The sequence below is a fragment of the Homo sapiens genome, chromosome 6, assembly GCF_000001405.40.
Source record: "Homo sapiens chromosome 6, GRCh38.p14 Primary Assembly".
In the NCBI taxonomy this organism is placed as follows: Eukaryota; Metazoa; Chordata; class Mammalia; order Primates; family Hominidae; genus Homo; species Homo sapiens.
This window is the reverse complement of record NC_000006.12, coordinates 35,450,569-35,473,596: the sequence shown is the minus strand read 5'-3', so window position 1 is coordinate 35,473,596 and position 23,028 is coordinate 35,450,569. Positions and strand designations below refer to the sequence as shown.

At 51.2% G+C, this 23,028-nt stretch overlaps 2 protein-coding genes and 1 non-coding gene across 12 annotated transcripts, besides 5 other annotated features; all 3 read right to left on the bottom strand.

Moving 5' to 3' along the window:
- Positions 1–2,816: 2,816 nt before the first annotated feature.
- RPL10A (ribosomal protein L10a) lies at positions 2,817–5,196 on the bottom strand. The gene is made up of 6 exons (NM_007104.5): positions 5,158–5,196; positions 4,724–4,798; positions 4,570–4,650; positions 4,068–4,216; positions 3,246–3,418; positions 2,817–3,017 (listed from the first exon to the last, which is right to left on the bottom strand). The coding sequence occupies exons 1-6, from the start codon at positions 5,160–5,162 to the stop codon at positions 2,847–2,849; spliced, it is 654 nt and encodes a 217-aa protein (NP_009035.3). The 5' UTR covers positions 5,163–5,196; the 3' UTR covers positions 2,817–2,846.
- On the bottom strand, positions 3,018–3,089 carry MIR7111 (microRNA 7111). Its single transcript, NR_106961.1, has one exon. It is a non-coding gene; the product is annotated as a microRNA 7111 (primary transcript).
- Positions 4,467–4,566: an enhancer, noted in NCBI's record as "active region_24407". NCBI's record gives its function as "activates an Ori minimal core promoter by ATAC-STARR-seq in GM12878 lymphoblastoid cells {active_cell/tissue: GM12878}" and the evidence as "EXISTENCE:reporter gene assay evidence [ECO:0000049][PMID:35858748]".
- Positions 4,627–4,696: an enhancer, noted in NCBI's record as "active region_24406". NCBI's record gives its function as "activates an Ori minimal core promoter by ATAC-STARR-seq in GM12878 lymphoblastoid cells {active_cell/tissue: GM12878}" and the evidence as "EXISTENCE:reporter gene assay evidence [ECO:0000049][PMID:35858748]".
- Positions 4,874–5,430: an enhancer, noted in NCBI's record as "NANOG-H3K27ac-H3K4me1 hESC enhancer chr6:35435944-35436500 (GRCh37/hg19 assembly coordinates)". NCBI's record gives its function as "activates a minimal SCP1, AML or CMV promoter by ChIP-STARR-seq in primed H9 embryonic stem cells {active_cell/tissue: H9 hESC(primed)}" and the evidence as "EXISTENCE:reporter gene assay evidence [ECO:0000049][PMID:30033119]".
- Positions 5,707–5,756: an enhancer, noted in NCBI's record as "active region_24405". NCBI's record gives its function as "activates an Ori minimal core promoter by ATAC-STARR-seq in GM12878 lymphoblastoid cells {active_cell/tissue: GM12878}" and the evidence as "EXISTENCE:reporter gene assay evidence [ECO:0000049][PMID:35858748]".
- FANCE (FA complementation group E) lies at positions 6,495–21,259 on the bottom strand. 10 transcript variants are annotated; one of them, NM_021922.3, is made up of 10 exons: positions 20,804–21,259; positions 17,244–17,850; positions 15,997–16,041; positions 15,613–15,681; positions 15,157–15,300; positions 14,143–14,266; positions 13,837–13,915; positions 12,979–13,045; positions 10,683–10,808; positions 6,495–7,353 (listed from the first exon to the last, which is right to left on the bottom strand). In NM_021922.3, exons 1-10 carry the CDS (start codon positions 21,049–21,051, stop codon positions 7,252–7,254), a joined length of 1,611 nt encoding a protein of 536 aa, NP_068741.1. In that variant the 5' UTR covers positions 21,052–21,259; the 3' UTR covers positions 6,495–7,251. The 10 variants fall into 10 exon arrangements, with proteins under 10 accessions (NP_068741.1, XP_005248942.1, XP_047274258.1 ...); XM_005248885.3 differs by having other exon boundaries at positions 15,157–15,279; XM_047418302.1 differs by having other exon boundaries at positions 20,775–20,927.
- Positions 20,709–21,608: a silencer, noted in NCBI's record as "silent region_17092". NCBI's record gives its function as "represses an Ori minimal core promoter by ATAC-STARR-seq in GM12878 lymphoblastoid cells {active_cell/tissue: GM12878}" and the evidence as "EXISTENCE:reporter gene assay evidence [ECO:0000049][PMID:35858748]".

Sequence of the window (23,028 nt, the reverse complement as noted above, 5' to 3'; positions counted from 1 at the left end):
CCACTTGTGTGCCAGACCTTTGGATTGGAACAGCTTCAGGTGAGGGCTCCTCCTAGGTCCTGGTGTGTCATCACCGCCAACCCCTGCAATGCCATCATCTCTTGGGGGGCCCCAAGGCCTACCCACACTCAACATTTCCCTCACTCCCTCCTGCTTCCAGCTGAGCACTTGTGTGTGCTGGCCTGAGGTCACCTAAGGGAAGTGATGTGCTCAAGGTCGCACATTGACTGAGATGGAAGCTCCAGGGCCCCCTGATAAGCCAGCACAACACAGACCAAAGCCTAGGGGTTAGCAACTGACCCTAAGTGACTCAAGGAGGGTAAGCGCTCTCCCCAGGTGACAACTGCTGACCTACCCATGTCTGCCTGGAAAGCCCTGCTGTCCTGAGCCACCTGTCCACAGTAGGGACAGACCACAGTCCTTAGAGGGCTGGGGCAGAGATAGTTCAAGACTTTCAGCGGCCGGGCACAGTGGCTCACACCTGTAATCCCAGCACTTTGAGAGGCTGAGGCGGGTGGATCACGAGGTCAGATCAAGACCATCCTGGCTAACATGGTGAAACCCCGTCTCTACTAAAAAAAAAAAAATGCAAAAAATTAGGCAGGTGTGGTGGCACACGCCTGTAGTCCCAAATACTCAGGAGGCTAAGGCAGGAGAATAGCTTGAACCCGGGAGGTGGAGGTTGCATTGCAGTGAGCCGAGATTGCACCACTGCACTCCAGCCTGGGTGACAGAGCTAAACTCCGTCTCAAAAAAAAAAAAAAAAAGCTTTAAGCAAACATTTTCCCAAAGAGGCTGTTCTAGCTTTTTCTCCTGCAGTTAAATATGGGTGAACTGATTGGACTCACTTGTCACAGGATGAAACTGTATTTGCTCTAAGGGTGGCAGGCTAGAGATGAGACTCTAGAATAAAGGGTTAAACAGAATGGGGATGACCCAGTTAAATTTTAATTTCAGATAAACAGATGATTTAAGTATGTTCCATGCAATACTAAGGACATCCTGCATTTTTATTTGCTAAATCTGGCAACCCTCTAGAATCTAGTCTTCTAGGTCATTCTAGTCCAACCTTCAAGTTAACAGATCGGGAGAACTTGAGACATGTTAAATGTACTTCTCACAGCCAGTCACTGCCAACATCAGGATTCCAACCTGGTCTGCCTGACTCCACGTTGTGTGCCTGGTATCCCACTAGGAGCCCCAAACTGTCACCTGCTGGATGGGTGGGAGGGTACCGAGCCCCAGTAGGTAGGAGGGGTCCAGGAAGCAGAAATTCCTGGAGGCTGCACTGGACACCGATTACATCTGTGGGCGATTAGCACACGAGCCTTCAGATAATTGCTTTTGCTTTAAGCTGAAGTTTCCCTTTTCCTTCTGATTGCAAAGATCACAGGAGGTTCAGAAAATACAGAAAAGCCCAAAGAAAAGAAAAATAACCACAACAAGTAGCTGGCTGGACCTGTCTTGAGAACCAAAATTCACTGCTCATCCTCATTAGGTTTTATACCTTTCTTACCAAGAAAGTGCTGTTAACTTCTTAAAAGCTAAAAAAGCAAAAGCTGCTCAGAGTAAAAACCCTGTGTTCTTCATTTCAGGGACAGGGAAGGCTTGTTTTGAGAAATGCAGCATCTCCCCCGACCCCCCGACTCCCACACATACCACCGATGGACTCTTGCTGTTGCCCAGGCTAGAGTGCAGTGGTGCGATCTCAGCTCACTGCAACCTCCACCTCCCAGGTTCAAACAGTTCTGCCTCGGCCTCCCAAGTAGCTGGGATCACAGGCGTGAGCCACCGCACCCAGCCAAAATACAGCATTGTTAAGCACTGCTTTTATGCTTTAAAATAACCGTTCTCAGCCGGGGGTGGTGGCTCACGCCTGTAATCCCAGAACTTTGGGAGGCCCAGACGGGCGGATCACAAGGTCAGGAGATGGAGACCCTCCTGGCTAACACGGTGAAACCCTGTCTCTACTAAAAATACCAAAAAACTAGCCGGGCATAGTGGCGGGCGCTTGTAGTCCCAGCTACTCGGGAGGCTGAGGCAGAATGGCATGAACCCAGGAGGCGGAGCTTGCAGTGAGCCCAGATCACGCCACTTATACTCCAGCCTGGGGAATGGAGCGAAGACTCAAAAAAAAAAAAAGCAGGGATGAACTTGTTCCCCTATTTACCAAAGTCAAACTAAGCTCATTTTAGTCAAAGGTTAAAGCAGTACTGGGTGCTAGAGGCAAGAACTGCCAACAGGGAAATGCCTCAGAAAAGGAGGGGGCTTAGCCTGCCTGGGGCAAGGACCTGGAATACTGTTAACAGGATCTGGCTGGGGATGGTGACTCACACCTGTAATCCCAGCACTTTGAGAGGCCGAGGCAGAATTGCTTGAACTGGGACCCACAGATTGAGATCGCACCATTGCGCTCCAGCCTGGGCTACAAACTCCATTTAAAAAAAAAAAACAAGGTCCATTAATTATACTTTTGTACTGGTTTGCTGTGCCTTGTTTTCCTTAACATTTACTCATTACTAACCCAAAGCATAGGATACTCCACATGTGGTCTTCTTAACACAGAAATGCTGACTAAAATCCTTATTTTAAATTTACATGGACCAATCCTGTCAAAAAGCTTCAATGCCGTTAGCAACCCTATCACATATGCAAGACTGCCTGATTTTGATGGCAGAAAAACATCCTCTTCCCTATAGTACCCAACTATCCATCATCAAAGTGACAAACTACACAACTAGCCATCAGCAGTGCCAAGGCCCTCACTTGTCAGCTGACAAACCACCCCCCACCCTCAATCACAGGCAGACAGAGGGAACTGGTAATAGAATTTATTCAAATGTGCCTTAATATAGGCGCTGGGGCTTGCCCATGGTGCTCTTGATATATAAGGCCCGGACATTCTGCCAGTTTTTCTTGAGCAATGACACCAAGAAGTTGACAGCCAGGTGAATGTTATACACAAGCTCATCGTCTGTCATCTTCACGTGACCAACAGCTACAGCCAGACATAACACCTGGGAGGAGGGAAGAGAGGATCAAGTCAGGTTGGTGGACGAATAGCAGATGGCCTGTCCTTCCTCCCCCAGTGGCCTGGTGAGCAGGTACTTGGACCCGGGCCAAGACCAGGGTTACTCCAAAAGTTTCAATCCTGGTGGGTGCTCTTACTGGCATATTTAGAGACTTGGATAAGATTTAGACCCTGCCAACACCTTCACCCATAGCAACCCGCCAGACCCACTCACCTTCTTCATTTGGAACTTGATTGTGGACTTCACCTCATCCACTTTGGCCACCATGTTTTCGTTGTGTGTGAGCAGGGAAGGGAACTTTCCTGCCTTATTTAAACCTGGGCCGAGGATTCGTGGAATCTGCTTGATCAGAGACTCTGAGGCCAAAAACGCATCATACTTCTTGGCTGATAGAGAGAGGAAGCCATTGGCATTGCTTAGAACCTGGTCACCAAGGCACACCTCAAATGTGGCAGGCCAGAAACGCACTTGAATCAATCATGTAAGTGACCTCCAAGCAGCACCCTCTCTAAGACCCCGCCTCAGTCTTTTCCCTAGCCCAAACGGTTTCCAGAAAGTCCTCTGGACCTTCACTGGTCCCAAAACATGCTCTCAGAAAACCAGGCTGACCCATGATCCATGGCATAACCGCTGTACAACGGATGCTCTGGTCAAGACTGCCTGGGCTCGAATTCTGCCTATTTCTTAGCTGTGGACCCTGGACACGTGACAACTGGGAATGTCTGCTTCCTACCTGTAAAAGCAGTCTAATGCCACTGCCTAAACAACGCAGCGTAAAGATTTCCAAATCATAGTTCACCAGCACCTGGCTGGTCAACTTACAATGCCTGGCCTCCCTCATCAACTGGAATCCTCATAGCAATACAAACATCAAACCACCCCAAAGCTAAAACAGCACTCAGGCAAGCTAGGCAACCACCGCCGATCCTTTGCTATTCTAGGCCCCTCATCATTTAAAAATCGAAAATGGCAGAAAAGCCTTTCTACCGCCCCCACCACACATCTCACATGCAAAACCACAGCGGCCGGACTCACCCAGCTTCTTGACCAGTTTTTTATTCTTGTTGAGTTTTTTCAGCGCCTCGATGTCCATGTGGGGGATATCCACGGCCTTAGCCTCGTCACAGTGCTGCTGGTCCCCCAGGACACACACAGAGAACTTAGGGCGGGGAGTGGACTTAAGCCTGCGTTTTGGGGGACAGCACCAACAGGTTACGCCTAGCCCTGGGTCCCAAGGGCCGGTGAAGGGTCTGGGACCGCAGCAGCCACCGAGCCTTACCCGGAGCGTTCACATTCACCAGCAGCCAGCCTGGCTTCTCAGGCTGGCCGGCGGGCTCGGCCGAGGCCTACCCACGCCTCCCCTCATGTTTTAAGACCCAGGGTGGGGGTCCGTCCAGCCGCGCCTGCCCGGAGCAGGGGGTCTGAACTACCCTAGCACATCAGTACCGACGTGCCCGCCTCCGGCTCAGCGGGAGCCTGCAGGGGAGGGGCAAGCACGGGGGCACTGAGGGCTGGGTGGGATCAGAACGGTGCCAACCTGACGGTGCCCGAGAAGCGCTTGTCCTTCTGGGGATCATAGTTCTTCAAGCTGATCTGCAACTCCACCGTCTCCAGGAACCTTCGAGAGAGGAGGGGGGTTAAGCACCCGCCGGCCCTCGCCACCCGCGCCGTGCCCCAGGGTCGGCACTCACTTGCGGCGCTTGCGCTGGTTCCCGTGCAGGACTTCCCGCACCGCCTCGTACAGGGTGTCGCGAGAGACTTTGCTGCTGCGGGAGAGAAGCGACAGGGCGCTCAGGGCCGCGGAGTCCACACGCTCGGACTGCCTGGAAGCCTCCGAGGTCTAGGCTTCGAGACGGGCGGGCGGCCCACGGCGGACTCCCCCGTAGATTCCGGACACCAAGTAGAGCGACGGGAGCTCAGACCCAGACCCAAGCCCCGGTGGAAGAGGGAGGCTCTCAGTGATCGGACCTGGTAGGAAGGGCGACCCGCAGGCCGACCCGCCTTGAGAAATGCCCCGCGGCGCAGGTGGCGCAAGGGTCCGCGGCGCGGCCTACAGGATCCGAACCCTCGGCGGGGCACCTGAAGGCGCGGATGAACGCGGATAGGGCTTTCAGGACCAACTCACCTCATGGCTTCTCACGCCGCGCTAACCGGAAAAGAGACTAGCATGTCTTGCGCATGCGCTCAAATAGTGGCCCTGATCTCGCGATAATGCTTTGCTCCTCGGTCCTACCCGCAGAGCGGTTGGGTGGGCCAACCCCGAGAAGCGCGGCCTTCTCTGGCCGCTGGGGGGCGTCGCTGGGCCGCTAGGCCGGCGCGGTAACCCACAGAGTTGTCGCAGTCCTGAGCGCCCCGCGGTCCCCCGGTAATGTGCCGATTCGCGCCCGCTGCTGCTGGACCCCTAGGGAAGCGGCTGGGTTCGGGGCTCGAGCTTCGGTAGTCACACGTACTGGTACAGCCCAGTGATGTTCACTGACAGCGTGGATTCCGGCACGCTTGTCCCTCAAACCCCTCTCCCCTCGCGCCCTCCGCACCAGCTTATGTTCTCAAAAGGAAGCCTGGCCCGACCTCCCTCCCTCAGCACCTTGCTCTAACGTGGACTCGTGGTAAGGGAAGTGTCCGGAAAGTTCTGTTCCTGTCCTTTCAACGCCTGCAGAGGGGAAGAGCTGGGAAAGTCCTTAAGTGAACTTTCACTTGATAGTTAATTTGATAACATCTACGTTTTAAGTGTGACTGCTATGAATAAGGCGTCTAGCCAGGTGCTACAGGAATACAAGGATGTAAAACAGGCACACAGCACTGCACACCCATAAGGTGTCTTCTCTGCTCTTTCCTCTGTCCAATGGGTCTCATCCTCTTAGCCACAGTAACCCCCAGAGCCCTTCAGATCTCTCCTCGGATTCATCTGCCCAAAACCCTTCCCGAACTCCAGACTGAGTCACTCCCACCTTTAAGATGCCCATTCTCACCTACCCCCCTGCCTGGTGGGGGCAGCTCCTATAGGATGGGGTGGGTGGTATTACACATTATTTGGCCCTCAGAGGGTGAATAAGATACCCTACACCCTTCCCCTCACCAGGAAAAAGATGTTCCTTGTCATTGAGCAGGGAAGTGGAGGGGGTGCGGATGGGCTCAATACCCAGAATTCATGGGAAGGAAGGTACTGCTTCTAATAAGACATTGGCCAGGCGTGGTGGCTCACGCCTGTAATCCCAGCACTTTGGGAGGCAGGCGGATCACCTGAGGTCAGGAGTTTGAGACCAGCCTCGTCTCTACTAAAAATACAAAAATGAGCGGGTCATGGTGGCATGCGCCTGTAATCCCAGCTACTCAAGAGGCTGAGGCAGGAGAATCGCTTGAACTGGGGAGGCAGAGGTTGCAGTGAGCCGAGATCATGCCATTGCATTCCAGCCTGGGCGACAGTGCGAGACTCAGACTCGAAAAAAAAAAAAGAAAAAGACATTATTGAACTTGCTTTTATTCAACACCATTGATAAATTATTCAAGTCAGAAACAAAAACACAGAAGGTCATAATATACATGAGCACAAGAGCTTCATCTGAGCCCACTGGTACCCCAGACCTCCTGGAGCATCCCATGCCCACTCTGGGTCGGCTTGATCCTACTGAGCCCTATCGGAAAGTTTGTCCCTGCAGCCTGAGAATTGATGAGGAGTGTGCCTGGGGCCAGCAGCCTTTGGAAATATAGCTCTGGCCTGGTGTGGTGGCTCACACCTGTAAATCTCAACACTTTGGGTGCCAAGGCAGGAAGATCACTTGAGCTCAGGAGTTCAAGACCAGCCCTGACCAGCATATTATCTACAAAATAAAAAATTAGCTGGGCATAGTGTCATGTGCATGTAGTCCCAGCTACTTGGGAGGCTGACATGGGAGGATCGAGCCTGGGAGGCAGAGGTTACAGTGAGCCATGATCAATCGCATCACTGCACTCCAGCCTGGATGACAGAGCAATACCTTCTCTCAAAAACAAAAGAAATGAAAAAGAAAATATAGCTGAGCTCCCTTAGCCCAGGAGCCTCCCTGCTGGCTGGGAAGCCAATATTCCCTATGCAGCCTGTAACAGGGAGGCAGTTGCAATCTGGGATGGCCAGGCTCAGCCTTTATCCTCAGGCTAGGGCTCAAGACAAGGTGGTGAAGAAAGAAATGCCCTTCAGGAAGCTGGTGATGGAGCACCAAGAGGGTGGTCCCTTGGTGGATGGTCAGGGGCCCAAATGTTTCAAGGCGGCCTTCAGGGACTTCCTCAGGAAGGTGGTGTTAGGTTCTAGGGCCATAGCCAGGCCCAGCCTCTGGGTCTCAGTGATCTGGGGAGAAGGAAAAATCATGTCAGGACTCCAGCAACTGATCCCTCCCGTCTCCCGACTACCCCAGGGGCTCTATTGAGGAGAGAGGAGGCCAGGAGGATGGAAAGAGGAGGAGACTCCTGAGCAATCTAATCTCATTATTTCACCATGGTTAACGAGGTAGACCTGGAGCCAAATACTAGCTGCACAATTTACTAAGCCGGCCACATTAGTAACAGTTGACAATCATTGTGTGTTTACTATGTGGCAGCACTTTATATGCATCAATCCATATACAAACATACATATACATCATATATATGCATTGCTGTATATAATCCTCAAGACCCTCCCATTTTACAGAGGAGAAAACTGAGGTTCACAGACACTCTACTGTGACAGCTACCTTCCTTTTGGATCACACTTTCTCTTTCTGCCCTGTTGCTACAACCTCCTGACAGGTCTCAGGCCCTGTATCTTCACCCTCCAATCCCACTCCTCACAGAAGCCAGATGCTTCTTAATAGTACAGATCTGATGAAGTTACTCCCAGGTTGAAGGCCCTTGAATGACTCCTGATGCCTCACATTGGAGGTCCTTCTGCCTAGATCTCCAGAGGATTCAGGAGCTCCCCTGAAACTGTGCAACAGAAGCATGTTCATACTTCCATCTTTCTGGGAGGGTCTACATCAAATCATCAAATGGGCCTGTAACACCCCCGACATAAGGGTACAAAGGCAATAGCCCAGAATACCTGACTTTCAAGATAAAGTTAAAAATAAAGCTCCTGGCTGGGCACCATGGTTCATGCCTGTAATCCCAGCACTTTGGGAGGCCGAGGCAGGTGGATCATGTGAGGTCAGGCATTGGAGACCAGCCTGGCCAACATATTGTGAAACCCCATCTCTACTAAAAAATACAAAAACTAGCTGGGCGTGGTGGCGCACACCTGTATTCCCAGCTACTTGGGAAGCTGAGGCAGGGGAATCACTTGAACCCAGGAGGCGGAGGTTGCAGTGAGCCAAGATCGCGCCACTGCACTCCAGCCTGGGCAACAGACCAAGACTCTGTCTCTCAAAACATACATACATACATACATATATACAGCTCCTCACCATGACGTACAGAAAAAATGCTACTAGTCCTGGCAGTGTGACCTTGGGCAAGTTACTTTAACCTGTGTGAGTCTCAATTTTCTGATCTATGAAACGGAATAATAAGAATATCTCTCAGGCCAGGCGCGGTGGCTCACACCTGTAATCCCAGCACTTTGGGAGGCTGAGGAGGGTGGATCACAAGGTCAGGAGATCGAGACCATCCTGGCTAACACAGTGAAACCCCGTCTCTACTAAAAATACAAAAAAAATTAGCCATGCGTGCTGGCAGGCGCCTGTAGTCCCAGCTACTCGGGAGGCTGAGGCAGGAGAATGGCGTGAACCCAGGAGGCGGAGCTTGCAGTGAGCCGAGATCGCAGCACTGCACTCCAGCCTGGGCGACAGAGCGAGACTCCATCTCAAAAAAAAAAAAAAAAAAAAAAGAATATCTCTCACAGGGCTGACACATGGAATAAACTAGCAAGTTCATATATGTAAAGGGCTTAGAGCCACGCCTGAGGCTGGGTGTGGTGGCTCAAGCCTGTAATCCCAGCACTTTGGGAGGCCAAGATGGGAGGATTGCTTGAGCCTAGGAGTTTGAGGCCAGCCTGGGCAACATAAGAAGACCCTGTCTCGGCCGGGCACGGTGGCTCACACCTGTAATCCCAGCACTTTGGGAGGCCAAGGCGGACAGATCACAAGGTCAGGAGATCGAGACCATCCTGGCTAACAGGGTGAAACCCCATCTCTACTAAAAATACAAAAAATTAGCCGGGCATGGTGGCGCGCGCCTGTAGTCCCAGCTACTCAGGAGGCTGAGGCAGGAGAATGGCGTGAACCCGGGAGGCGGAGCTTGCAGTGAGCCGAGATGCGCCACTGCACTCTAGCCTGGGCAACAGAGTGAGACTCTGTCTCAAAAAAAAAAAAAAAAAAAAAAGAAGACCCTGTCTCTATTTTTGAAAAATTAAATTTAATAAAAGAACCATGACTGAGACATGGCAGGTACTGTAGAAATAATAGCTCTTAGTACTTTAGCTCTCTAATCTTATCCCCCACCACCATCCATTCTCACATTTTTAGGCTCCATCCACAATGAACTACTTGCAGATCCCCTCAGACACTCACTGCTCACACTGTATCTTTTTCCTGAAATGCCCTTCCTCTCATCTCTGGCTCTTGACTACCATTCACCTTTTAAGAGTCAGGAAGTCTGGGCACGACAGCTCACGCCTGTAATCCCAGCACTTTTGGAGGCCGAGGCGGGCTGATCACAAGGTCAGGAGTTCAAGACCAGCCTGGCCAACATAGTGAAACCCCGTCTCTACTAAAAATACAAAATATACAAAAAATTAGCCAGGCGTGGTGGCAGGTAATCCCAGCTACTCGGGAGGCTGAGGCAGGAGAATCGCTTGAACCTAGGAGGCAGAGGTTGCAGTGAGCCGAGATCATGCCATTGCATTCCAGCCTGGGCAACAGTGCGAGACTCCGACTCAAAAAAAAAAAAAAAAGTCAGGAAGCCCGTCCCAATTCCCAACCACAAACAAAGCTCACTTGCTCCTCTTCTTTTGCCACCAAATGCCCTTTGCACACCTCTCACCTGGCTCCTACCAGATCTTACTTCTAATATCTGTTATCTGTTTATTTTATTTCTCCCCTCTCACTAGCCTGGGGTTAGGTGACGGGGTCAACTCAAGGGCAGGGATTGCATTATGGTCGCTGTTGATTTCCCAGTGCCCCACACAGCATCTGGCCTAAAGAAGTGTTGGCTGGATGAATGAACTCCTAAGCAGTCTCATTCCCCAGTCCTGGGCTTGAACTTGTTGTTTCTCTGGCTAGCACTCAGGGTTTGTTTTTTGTTTTTGTTTTTGTTTTTGAGATGGAGTCTCACTATGCTGCCCAGGCTAGAATGCAGTAGCATGATCTCAGCTCACTGCAACCTCCACCTCCCAGCTTCAAGCAATTCTCCTGCCTCAGCCTCCCTTGTAACTAGGATTATAGGCGTGCACCACCACACCTAGTTAATTTTTGTATTTTTAGTAGAGATGAGGTTTTACCATGTTGGCCAGGCTGGTCTTGAACTCCTGACCTCATGATCCGCCTGCCTCGGCCTCCCAAAGTGCTGAGATTACAGGCGTGAGCCACCGTGCCTGGCCAGCACTCAGGGTTTTATCCCTGACATACATATTCATACACCCTTGTGGCAGGCCCAGGGCAGCCCTGCCAGCAGGACCAGCCCCAAGGCCCTATCAATACTCACGTTAGCCTGATACTTGGTCATCACTGTCAGCATGAGCTTGGCATAGGCCATGGAGGTGGTGGCTGCCAGCCCCTTTTTACAGAGCTTCTCCATTAAGACACTGAACTTCTCAGGGGTCATCTCCACCTGCACACATTGGGAGATGGAGCAGTAATCACAAGAAAGGCTTGGGCTCTTCATTCAGCCAGTCCTGGATTCAATTCCCAACTCCACCACTTCCTAGCTAGGTGACCCTGGGCAGGTAACTTAACCAACCTAAACCTCCATTTCCATATCTATAAAATGAGGCTCAGGATATCTAACGGAAGACTGTGAAAAGGATTAAATGAGATAATGCACATAAGACACACAGGTCTCAGAAAATGGTGGCTACCATTGCAAAGGCTCAGATTAGGACCAAGGGGAAGCCAAGGATCCCTCATCTGGTTCAGTGGTTAAAGATATAAAGGACCCAGGGCCCAAGAGACACTGCCACCTTAATCACCTGTCTCTTTATAATAATAATTTATGCTAGGCACGGTGGCTCATGCCTGTAATCCCAGCACTTTGAGAGGCCAAGGCGGGTGGATCGCCTGAGGTCAGGAGTTCCAGACCAGCCTGGCCAACATGGTGAAATCCGTCTCTATTAAAAATACAAAAATTAGCCGGGCGTGGTGGTGCGTGCCTGTAATCCCAGCTACTCAGGGGGCTGAGGCTGGAGAATCACTTGAACCCAGGAGGTAGAGGTTGCAGTGAGCCGAGATTATGCCACTGCACTCCAGCCTGGGTGATAGAGTGAGACTCCGTCTCAAAAAAAATAATAATTATTATTATTATTTAATAAACACTGTGCATCAGGTACCATTCTGACTACTTTACACCAATTATCTCATTTAAACCTCACTCCAGTCTTATATGGTAGGTGCTATTAATATTATATCTCCCCTTTTGTAGATGAGGAAACCACAGGCATAAAGAAGTTAGGTCAGGGCTGGGCACGGTGGCTCACGCCTGTAATCCCAGCACTTTGGAAGGCCGAGGCCGGTGGATCACGAGGTCAGGAGATAGAGACCATCCTGGCTAACATGGTGAAACCCCATCTCTACTAAAAATACAAAAGATTAGCCGGGTGTGGTGGTGGGCGCCTGTAGTCCCAGCTACTCGGGAGGCTGAGGCAGGAGAATGGCGTGAACCCGGGAGGCAGAGCTTGCAGTGAGCTGAGATCGCACCACTGCACTCCAGCCTGGGCAACAGAGCGAGACTCCATCTCAAAAAAAAAAAAAAAGAAGTTAGGTCAGTTATCTAAGATATAAACAAATGAGGCAGAATTTCAGGTACTGATATGAAAAAAATCACCAAAATATACTGTGAAGTAAAAAAAGCAACCTACAGGGCACTGAGTTTGGTGTGTTGCAATTTCCAAAAAAGTAGGAGGGAAAGTAAGAGTAGACATGTTTCCACATATAGATGGTATCTCTGGAGGGGGGCGGATTCCCCTGAAACTGGTAATACTGGTTAGCCCTAAGGAGGGAAATCTGGATGGTTAGGGAAGAGAAGTAAGGGGAATATTTTTCACTGTATCCTTTTGAGCTTTTAAAATTGTGAACATATGGGCTGGGCGTGGTGGCTCACGCTTTTAATCCCAGCCCTTTGGGAGGTCAAGGAGGGCAGATCACTTGAGCCCAGAAGTTCTGGCCTCAAGTCATGGTGAAACCCTGTCTCTACTAAAAATACAAAAATTAGCCGGTGTGGTGGCGCACGCCTGTAATCCCAGTTACTTGGGTGGCTGAGGCCACAGGAGTTCTGGCCTCAGGTCATGGCAAAACCCTATCTCTACTAAAAATACAAAAATTAGCCAGCGTGGTGGCGCACGCCTGTAATCCCAGTTATTTGGGTGGCTGAGGCACAAGAATTGCTTGAACCCAGTAGGCAGAGGTTGCAGTGAGCCAAGATTGTGCCACTGCACTTCGGCCTGGGCAACAAAGCCAGACTCTATCTAAAAAAAAAAAAAAATTTGTGAACATATGAATCTATTACCTATTCAAAAATAAAATTAAATTCACACACACACATCAAAAATCCCACCCCCAAGGCCCCCCCAGCTGGTAAGAGGTGGAGCTGAAGTGACCATGTGCTCAGCTCTCTGCTACCAGCTTTGCATGGCCCAGGGCTCTCCCACTGTCTCAGGCAGCTGCTGTAGGGCAGCTGTCCTGCTTGACCCTCCATGCACTGAAGGACTCAGAAACCCAGGAACCCCGTGTGCTTCCAAGGACTGCAGCACTTCTTTGTCCACTCTTCCCCAGGGCAGCCTGCTCACCTGCCGCTCTAGGAGTGACTGCAACACCAAGAAAGTTTCCTCCTTCCAGGGCAGCTCCAAGATCTGTCTGCAAAGCAGAGGCCCTAGTGAAAAATGCCTGGCCTCCCACCCAAGCCTGAGTATCTATCTGCTGCTCCAACTCCCACAGCAGGGCAAGGCCCTGGGGACAGCCAAGATCCCCAGCCAACAAAGGGGTAGTCAGGGGTGGGGCACAGTGGCTCACACCTGTAATCCCAGCACTTTGGGAGGCCGAGGCAGGTGGATCACCTGAGGTCAGAAGTTCAAGACCAGCCTGGCCAACATGGTGAAATCCCGTCTCTACTAAAAATACATAAAATTAACCAGGCTTGGTGGTGGGTCCTGTAATCCCAACTACTCAGGAGGCCGAGACAGGAGAATTGCGTGAACCTGGGAGGCAGAGGCTGCAGTGAGCCAAGACTGTGCCAATGCACTCCAGCCTGGGCAACAGGGCAAGACTCCGTCCCCACCCCCCACCCCCCGCCAAAAAAAAATGGGTAGTCAGAGCCTTCTTGATGCTGGCACCAGCCCCAGCAGCCACTGTTGCAGAGCTCATACAACTGCCAGGGAGGTCACAACCTCAAGAGCCCCAGGAGCTGACAACAAAGTATTTGGTAGTGAGACACAAGGATCCCCTAAAAAATAACTAGGAGTAGAAAGTGCATCGTGAGAACAAAAGGCAAAGAGGACTCATAAAGGAGAAAGAGGATGGAGTGAGATGATACACATAAGGCTTCCTAGAGAAGGTAAGCCTTCCCTGCAGGGCCCAACACATGTGATGTCACTCTAGCCTGGGGGAACAGGTGGCAGTGGGGACAGCACGGAGGCCTGCACACTCACCCCAGCATTAGAACCTGTGCATCTGGCTCCAGGGACTCCATCTTCACAAGGCAACACAGTAACTCTGTTTGAGCAGGACCTGGGTAGAGGACAGCAGAAGGGGAAGTCTGGGGGGAAATGGCAGAAGACAGCAGAAAGCAGGGAGGCGGTAACAGAATGCCCAGCCTGTTACAGGGGCATTGTCAGGGAAGCAGCAGGCATCTTTAATCACTGAATACCCAACTCCTGCCAGGGCCACTCTGGGGTGAAGGATGCTGAGAACACTGAGGGCAGAGCTACTGGGCCTGGGGCTGGTTCCAGAATTACCTGTGCCTGGGGCCTGGAGCACAGGGTCAAGGAGGGCGCTGCAGACAGGGTATGTATATTTGGCACAGAAGGAGGTCAGGGCAGTTGTAAGCAGGCGGGAGGCTGAGGAAGTCAAGGAGAGGATCTACAGCCAACAGGGAGGAAAAAATTAATTATTTTCTTCTTCATTTCAACAGCATTTATCAAATGCACATTTCAGATGATGATACATGTTACAAAGGAAAAAAAAAACCAAGTTCTTTTATTTAGAACTCACATGGACCCACCCATTGGAAAAGATACATACCTCTCTTGCTCAGTTCCCAAATCCCTGAAAGTCCCTTGATCAGCTTCTAGAAGGGTTCTGGTGCCCAAAGAGAAGTTAGATGCCAGCTGGGCATGGTGGCTTAATTATGCCTGTAATCCCAGCACTTTGGGAGGCTGACACAGCTGGATCACTTGAGGCCAGGAGTTCGAGACCAGCCTGGGCAACGTGGCGAAACCCAGTCTCTACTAAAAATACAAAAATTAGCCAGGTGTGGCGGTGGGTGCCTGTAGTCCCAGCTACTCAGGAGGTTGAGGCAGGAGAATCGCTTGAACCCCAAAGGCAGAGGTCGCAGTGAGCCAAGATTGCACCACTGCACTCCAGCTTGAGTGACAGAGCAAGACTCCGTCTCTAAATAAATAAATAAATAAAAATACAAAAATTAGCCAGGCATGGTGGAAGGCACCTGTGATCCCAGCTACTCAGGAGGCTGAGGCAGGAGATCACGCCACTGCTGCACTCCAGCCTAGGCAACAGAGTGAGACACTCTCTCTCAAAAAAAAAAAAAAAAGTTAGATGCCATGTGGGTAGATGGCCTGGGGGTCCATGCCCTGCCAGTTAAGCAGGCATCCTTTCCTTGCCCCAGGCTGCCCAAACAGCCCAGATGTCTACAAGGCTGGGAATCCCCTCTCTCAAGTACCACCCTTCTGAGGGCCCAGTTGCTCTTCCCCATTGTCCTTGGCACTCTGAGTACCTCCCAATACACCTACCCGTCCAAGAAAGAGGCTTCTGGTCAGCACAGTAGCATTGCTGAGGCTGAGATCAGGTGAAAGGGCCAGCAGCCAGGTGCAGAGCCGCAGGAGACCGAGGTCTGAGAGCTGAGGGAGCTGCAGCTGGGCACACAGCAAGTCCATCTGCTTACAGAGTGCGGGGGGAGAGAGGACACCGGGACATGCACTCTGCCTCTGCTAGGCTGTCTCAAGCAACTGGACAGCAGACAGAGCAGGGCAAAGATACTCCAGGGCAAAGAAAGTCTGGGAGAGCTGCCCTAGGGGAAGGAACCAAGGGCTAAAAGATACTACACAGGGTGACCCCTATCGCTGAGAGAGAAAACAACAAAATCCCCTCCCACATTTCCCACATGAGGTAGGAAAACATAAACTTAAATAGAAAAAGATAAGGGACAGAGAATGTAACCTCAGAGCCAGGCAGTCATCTGGACTCACCTGGCTGGGACTACATTCGTGAAGAAGCTGTAGCTCAACTGGGGGGGCATCCTCCAATCCCTCTAACCCCTGGGGAGACAAATCTCATGTTAGGGCTGGCAGAGCCCTCAGTGACAAGTCACTGAAGCCACCCCTTCAGGTGGCAGAAGGAGTGGCCTGAGATCCTGGAAGGCACTACCAGAGAAGAGGAAGTTACCTGGGGTTAGATGGTAAGTCTACACTTGGTTCAAGAAAAGCTCCTTCAGAGACTGTCCTCAGACCTTTACTCCAGTCCCCCTCCCCCAGCCAGCTTGTATATCACTGCATTGGGCCTTCCTTGGGCATAGTTGGGGTCTGGGTAGAAGATGGAAGAAAGGCTATGGTGAGCACTGTGGGGCCAGTCACCTCCTCCAAGGTCTTCAGCAGCTGCTGCAGCCTGGGAAGCTGGTCCTGTGGAGGAGAGCCCAGTCACTGCTACGTCCCTCCCCCTGCAGCATGACCCCAAGCCCGGTTCTGGCTCCCCCTACTGAAAAGGCCCCAGGTCAGTGGGAGCTAGCTGGCAAAGATGATTCAAGAAAGTCAAGAGGCCAAGCGCGGTGGCTCACACCAGCACTTTGGGAGGCTGAGGATGGAGAATCACTTGAGCCCAGGAGTTCAAGATAGCCTGCACAACTAGTTGAGACCCCATCTCTACAAAAATAAATATAAAAAATTAGCCAGGCGTGATGGTGCATGCCTGTAATCCCAGCTACTTGGGAGGCTGAGGCAGGAGGATCACTTGAGCCCAGGAGGTCGAGGCTGCAGTGAGTTATATTCATGCCCCTTCACCCCAGCCTGGGGGAGAAGAGAGGGACCCTGTCTCGAGGAGAAAAAAAAAAAGTCAAGAACATGAAGTCTCTATCTTGAAAAGTGCCTAAGAACCCAAACTAGACAAGGTCCATGTGAAACCTAGCTGTCTAGAATTGTCTTCTGCATCCAACCCAAATGGGGGTAGACCCAGGCCTCAGACTAGGAGGCAGGGGCAGACTGGATGCTGTCATGATTCTTCCCACCCACATATGACGGGGTAGCAGGGGTGGCTCCAGAGCCTCTCCCTTGCCTGGCACCCTTTAACCCCACATTATAGATCATTAGGACACATTTCCCACCTCCAATAACTCCCTTCCCTACCCCTCCTTAAGAGTCTGTGGAGTGGCTGGGCGTGGTGGCTCACACCTGTTATCCCAACACTTTGGAGGCCAAGGTGGGCGGATCACCTGAGGTCAGGAGTTCAAGACCAGCCTGACCAACATGGAGAAACCCTGTCTCTACTAAAAATACAAAATTAGCTGGGCGTGGTGGCGCATGCCTATAATCCCAGCTACTCAGGAAGCTGAGGCAGGAGAATCGCTTGAACCCGGGAGGCAGAGGTTGCGGTGAGCTGAGATCATGCCATTGAACTCCAGCCTGGGCAACAAGAGCAAAACTCCATCTCAAAAAAAAAAAAGAGTCTGTAGAGTGGAGGCTACATTCCCTCAACCCTACCTTCCTCCTTCTTCCTCCAGGAACTACAGTCAACTCCATTGGGAAAAAGTGTCCCAAGCAGCCTTCCCCATGGATAAAGCCACCACTGCTGAAAGATCACTCTAAACCCAGTCTCCCTACCAAAGTACCTGGATAGCTTTGGGCAACTCCAAACTCTCAGCCAGACCTTTAGCATCATCCAGATTCGAACCGTCCTCGCCAGTCTTAACTGCCATGACAGGCTGGTCCTTAATAGGAGATGCACTTCCTCCATCTGCCAGGGATTCCAGTGACTTATGTTCGGGTCTCTCCTTCTCATGATCTTCTTCCTCTTCCCAACACCGTAATCTTTTGGGGACCCTCTTCCCCTCAGGACTGGCAGCCTCTTCCTCTGAGTCCTTTCTGCGTTTCCCAGGCTGCTGGGAGTCCCTGTTCTCCTCTTCTTCAGGGTCTGGAGCCTGGGGGGATTTCAACCTCCTGCCCCCCAGGCCCAGCCCCCTACATAGACTTTGGAGCTGTCTCTGGCATCTTTCAGACAGTGGAGAAGCTCCCTCCATGGAGGTCCCCACCCCCAAATCCCTTCGCAGCAATTCCCCCAGGGCACGGAGCCAGGCATCTGGGTCAGGGGCTAGGTCCTGCTGGGCAATCTGCAGCACAGAGAGGAGCCCACTTTCCGGCAGCGATGGCCGAACGGCCATCAGCAGGGACATCAGGTTCCTCTGGCATATCCGGGGCAATCGCAGCAACAGTGGTTTCCTGGGTAGCAGAGGGAGAGCAAGCAGTTAAGTGTTTGGCTGAAGGGAGCACAAGGCAGACTGGGCAGAGCTGGGGGCTAGATGGCGGTGGACAGATGGGGGCTGGCACGCAGTATCTGCAAGAGTCAGTGGATGTTGGCCAGGTGTGGTGACTCACACCTGTAATTATAGCATTTTGGGAGGCTGAAGTGGGCAGATCACTCAAGGTTAAGAGTTCAAGACCTGCATGGCCAACATGGTGAAACTCCGTCTCTACTAAAAAAAATACAAAAATTAGACGGGCATGGTGGCATGCGCCTGTAGTTCCAGCTACTGGGGAGGCTGAGGCAGGAGAATCGCTTGAACCCGGGAGTCAGAGGTTGCAGTGAGCCGAGATCATGCCACTGCACTCCAGCCTGGGCAACAATGTGAGACACTATTTCAAAAAAAGGAAAAAAAAAAAAGTCAGTGGATGGAGACAGGGACAACATGAAAGATGAGAACTGTTCAAGTGTTCATTGAATATCTATCATATGACAGGCCCTATTCTTTGGCCTCTGTCATCTGTTTCAGCTCAAAATTCATATTGGAACCTACTCTATAATAGATTCATGCTTGTTTTACACAAAAGAAGAAAAAAGTTCTTTCCCAAATTTTAGGTAAAAATAATACTCCAGGATGCTGTGCAGTGCTTAGTCTTGCAGCCCTATGGCTGCCCTCGGCAATCCCCTGGAACTCTCGGGGTCAGTCATCTGTCCAGCTCTTGTGTTCCTTTCACCAAATTGTGAGTTCCTAAAAGGTGAAGGTAGTGTTTCCTTCCTCTGTGTCCTAGGACTCAGCACAGCGCCAGCCCAGAGCAGGCACTTGTTGCGCATTTATTGAATGAATTAACTCTCTAAGTGTGCTGAGATCAGCAAGAGCTGCTGTGGACACAGAAGGCTTCCCAGAGATGAAACTTGAAACAGAAGGAATCACTTTACAGATTCCAAACAGTATGCACAGAGCCAAAGGGGAAAGACGGGGGATGAGGATCTTTTGTTTTGGAGCCCCAGGAGTTTAAGCAGAACCAATGCTCTGTCCTGCAAGCACCCAGCTTTTCTTAAAATAGATTCAACACTATTCCCCAGAGCTCCAGAGGCCCATGATGCAATGTAACCATCTGTAATTCTGCTGAGGCACAAACCCAGATCCTACGTGACCTGAGGCGTGGTGTGGCAAGTCATGGCAGCATCTAGCCCACCACCCCTCACGTCTCTACTCCTCCCTATGCATAATTTTGCAGGGCCGTTTGTCAACACAGAGGCACTTGGGATGTGAGGCAGAAAAAAAAAGACAACTATTTCTTTGTGGAATATAGACACTATGTGAGAGAGAAAAACTAGAGTCAAAGTTTAAAAGATGGGCTGGGCGCAGTGGCTCATGCCTGTAATCTCAGCACTTTGGGAGGCCAAGGTAGGTGGATCACGAGGTGGGTGGATCAGGAGTTCCAGACCAGCCCAGCCAATATGGTGAAACTCTATCTCTGCTAAAAATACAAAAATTAGCTGGGCGTGTTGGCACGCGCCTGTAGTCCCAGCTACTCAGGAGGCTGGGGCAGAAGAATTGCTTCTTCTGGAGGTGGAGGTTGCAGTGAGCCAAGATTGCGCCACTGCACTCCAGCTTGGGCAACAGAGCAAGATTCCGTCAAAAAAAAAAACAAAACAAACAAAAAAAACCTAAGTTTAAAAGATGGCTAATTTGTGGTGGGGAGGATATTTGGGGGTAGAGAGATAGGGAAGACCCTACTCCAGGAAATTTTAACCTGTTTTAGTGCCAGAGACCTGTGATCAGAATGAGTGTTAAATGCATTTGATAAAATATCTAGGATTATAAAGGAAATCAATTGTGCTGAAATACTCTTCTATCCAGGGGCCCCAGGTTAAGGCCCTGCCCTCTCCTTACTCTATCCAGAATAAGCCAGATAGCTGGGCAAACATTTCTATAGCTTCCAATTTGGGGATTCAGACAAGTTCTCCTGACCCATCTCCTGAAAGAAATTCAAAGTGGAGTGTAGGAAGAAAATATTGGAACTCCCATTTTCCCCTATTTATCTAAAACATAAGAAATTAAGCATTAGAAATATTTAGCATCTGGATGGTTTCCAGCATAAATTATGGGGGAGGGGTATCCAAGAGGAGTGGAAGGCTGGCCCCACTAGGAGCTGAACATGGCACCTCACCCACTCATTTTTCTGTGTGTTTTAGTTAACTTTGCTAGTTAAGTGCATCTGTAGATACTGTACTCTTTTTTTTTTAAGCAAAAGTTGTCCTCACAAATAAGCACGTGGCTTAAAAGAATGCCTGCCAAAAAATTGGAGATAATATCAATAACAGAAACACAACCAAATAAAATGGCAGGGCCGACACCTCTGCTCCTAGTAGGAATCCTTCGTCAGCCACAGAGAGGTTAAAAAAAAAGTTCAATGTCATCCAAGAGCCAGAAATTATCAAGAACACTAAAATATGGATTCACAGTTACCATTCTTAGAGAAAGCAATCTTGCCTTAAAGTGAACGTTATGCTTTGAAAAGCAGAGCATACAGCCACCAGGATAGCGGATACGTATTCCACCATCACGTTTTAAGTATCTATTTTTGTACTTTAAAATGTACGTATTTTAACACATGTGTACACTTTATACATAAGTATACTTACACTGGACGTACGAGTCCAGTTTTTTAGAGATGGAAGTACGCGATCAAAAGTGATTTGCCTCCACTTATCATCACTATACCTTACAGCGAACAGAAGGCGTGTGCCTCGAGTTCCCGGATCCTCGATGTCCCGCACACAGCAAGTGCTCAGTGAAGGGTGCCCCTGCTCATAGGGTGCGCGGCAGGCCGTCGCTGAAGGGGCTTATTTCACCTCTGTGTGTGTCGTTCCCCCGACAGCCCCCCGCCTCCCATACCTGCTAAGGGGCCGCGGGCGAGGACTTACAGCTCCAGACGGCCGTCAGGCCCCTGCACGACCGGCTCCTCCCGGCACAGGGCCTCGAGCAAGCGACCCCAGTCGAAGGGCTCCCAGCCGCGGCTGCCCAGCGCCCGGAGCACCCCCAGGCCGCGCCGCGCCCCCTCAGGCCCCGCCTGCAGCGCCTGCAGCAGGAGGCGGGCGGGGGCCTCCAGCTGCGCCCAGGGCGCCGGCTCCACGCCCTCAGCCCCAGGGAGCCCCGCGTCCGGTGTCGCCATGCCGGGGCACGGGTGCCGCGCCGCCCCCTACTCTGGTGTGGGGCCTCAGCTCAGAGGCTGAGGGGAACGGAGGACTCCAGCGCCGTCCCTGACGCGGCGGTGGCGGGCCAGCTCCAGCGCCTGTTACAAGCTCTCCTCGGCGTTGGGAGACCGGAGAAACCCGGCCGCCCGAAGCCGCAGCCGTTCCCGCGCTGTCGGAAAGGGAAGGAGGGAGGCGCGGCCGGGGGCGGAGCCTGAACGTGAGGCCGGCGCGAGGGCCGGTCGCAAGGGGCAGGGCCGGGCACAAGTCCAGCCGGAGTAGGTGGGCGGGGCCAAGGCCTGGGGCGTGCCCATGGGAGGGGGCGTGGACAAAACAAGTGGTTAGTTTGTGGGCGGTGTCGGGCCAGGGAGCCTGGAGCGGGGCGGGGGCGGGGGTTGATGGAGGGGTGGATCCGCCGCTGACGACCCCAACCCTCTCCCTTTCTTCATCACTCCCCAAAGTAGTGGAATGGAGTGGATGTCAGGGGTTCTGTTGTGCTAGAGGACCCGCGCTGTATTTACGCTGACGGCATGTTGCTTGTCATGGACTTCACCATAGAATTTGACCACAATTTACCACCCCACTTAGCTTCATCTCTTCCACAGGCCAAAAGTGCTATCATTTGGGTTTCAGTCCTCTCCAGAAATAGTATTTGATATACAAACATCCCTGAGAATGACATGGTCACAGTAAAACCTAACACTATTAATACGGCCAAAGACTTTCTTCTGAACTTCCTCCCAAAGACCAAGCAGTAACCTTGCTCTGGGTCGTTTATAGGGGGCCAGGTGTGGCTCCACTTCCTAGGGTTCAGTTTAAGGAAGTCCGCTGGAGAACTTGGCTTCCAGCCAAGGGTGGGATCACTGCAAAGCGTAGGAAATAAGCGAGAAGAGCCCCACAGTGCCTCCTAAACCTTGCTTTGGGGGCTAGCTTGTATTTCCTGTCCCAGCTCTGCTGCCACACACAGCCCTTCATTCAGGAAATGTTTACTGAGCACCTAGGGACTGGGGATACTGGGAACAAAACAAAGATCCTGGCCCTCATTGTCACACAACTGGGGAGAGACGGAAAGCTAATTAAACAATGTTTGTGATGTGTTCAAAAAGAACATAACACCGACACACAGCACGAAGTGCTTTTAAATAGGGTGGTCAGGCAAGATGAATGTGAAGATGAGGTTGGCAAGCCAGATAGAAGTCTGTGAGAAGACCATTTCAGTCCTCCCTGTGGAGGGCGGGGGGGCTCTGGGGCAAAAGCATGGCTGGAACGGAGGGCACTTGCTGGATAGTAATAGGAGTTGAGATCAGAGTGGGAACCAGGTCAGATCTTAAGAGGCCTGAGGTCACAGAAAGGAGTTGGGCTTTCACTCTGAATAGTATGGAAAGCCATGGGAGTATCTTGAGCTTGATCTGATCTCCATTTGAGCCAAAATGATTTCAAGGGAGATGTCGGGAAAGACTAGTGATATTTCTTAGATAATGGCTGCTTTGCAAATGCCAAAATAGCAAGAAAGAAGTTTCTTCCAGACACCTTCTGTTTCAGGTAAGCAGCTCTAACTTTACAGGGGATGTTTTGGGTCTTCGAATGACAAGCTGTTAGAGGAGTGGGACCTGATGAATAGCAGGCAGGGCCAAGAATGCTAAAAAGCCTGCAATGCCCTGTGCATCCTCACCTACAGCTTTACTCTGAGTGGCTGTGGCTCCCACCCACCAAGGTCTGTATTCTGGCCACCTGAAAGGGAACAGGGAGGAAAAGTTCTAAACATGGCTCAAGGACCCTGGTGGATCCCCGAGTCCCTTTCACAAGATTCATGAGGTTATTACTATTTTCATAATGCAAAAATGCACTGTGAAGTTTTCCAGAAGCTAAGTGACAAGTAATATTGCAACAGATTGAATGCAGAAGCAGCCTTATTGCACTTGGCAGTGGGGCTGGGCTATGAGCGGACCACTCTTCAG

Bases quoted from the DNA above. Each gene is read 5' to 3' on its own strand.
- RPL10A (NM_007104.5), bottom strand. The intron at 4,651-4,723 runs GTGAGTGCCGAC...CCTCTCTCGAAG, and splicing joins AACCAGCGCAAGCGCCGCAA to GTTCCTGGAGACGGTGGAGT. The intron at 3,018-3,245 runs GTGAGTGGGTCT...CCCTCCTCCCAG, and splicing joins TCAAGTTCCAAATGAAGAAG to GTGTTATGTCTGGCTGTAGC.
- FANCE (NM_021922.3), bottom strand. From the start codon at position 21,051: ATGGCGACACCGGACGCGGGGCTCCCTGGGGCTGAGGGCGTGGAGCCG. The intron at 15,682-15,996 runs GTGACTGGCCCC...TTGTCTCCCCAG, and splicing joins TGCTGAAGACCTTGGAGGAG to GGGTTAGAGGGATTGGAGGA. The intron at 10,809-12,978 runs GTGAGCAGGCTG...CAATGTGTGCAG, and splicing joins AGTCACTCCTAGAGCGGCAG to GTGGAGATGACCCCTGAGAA.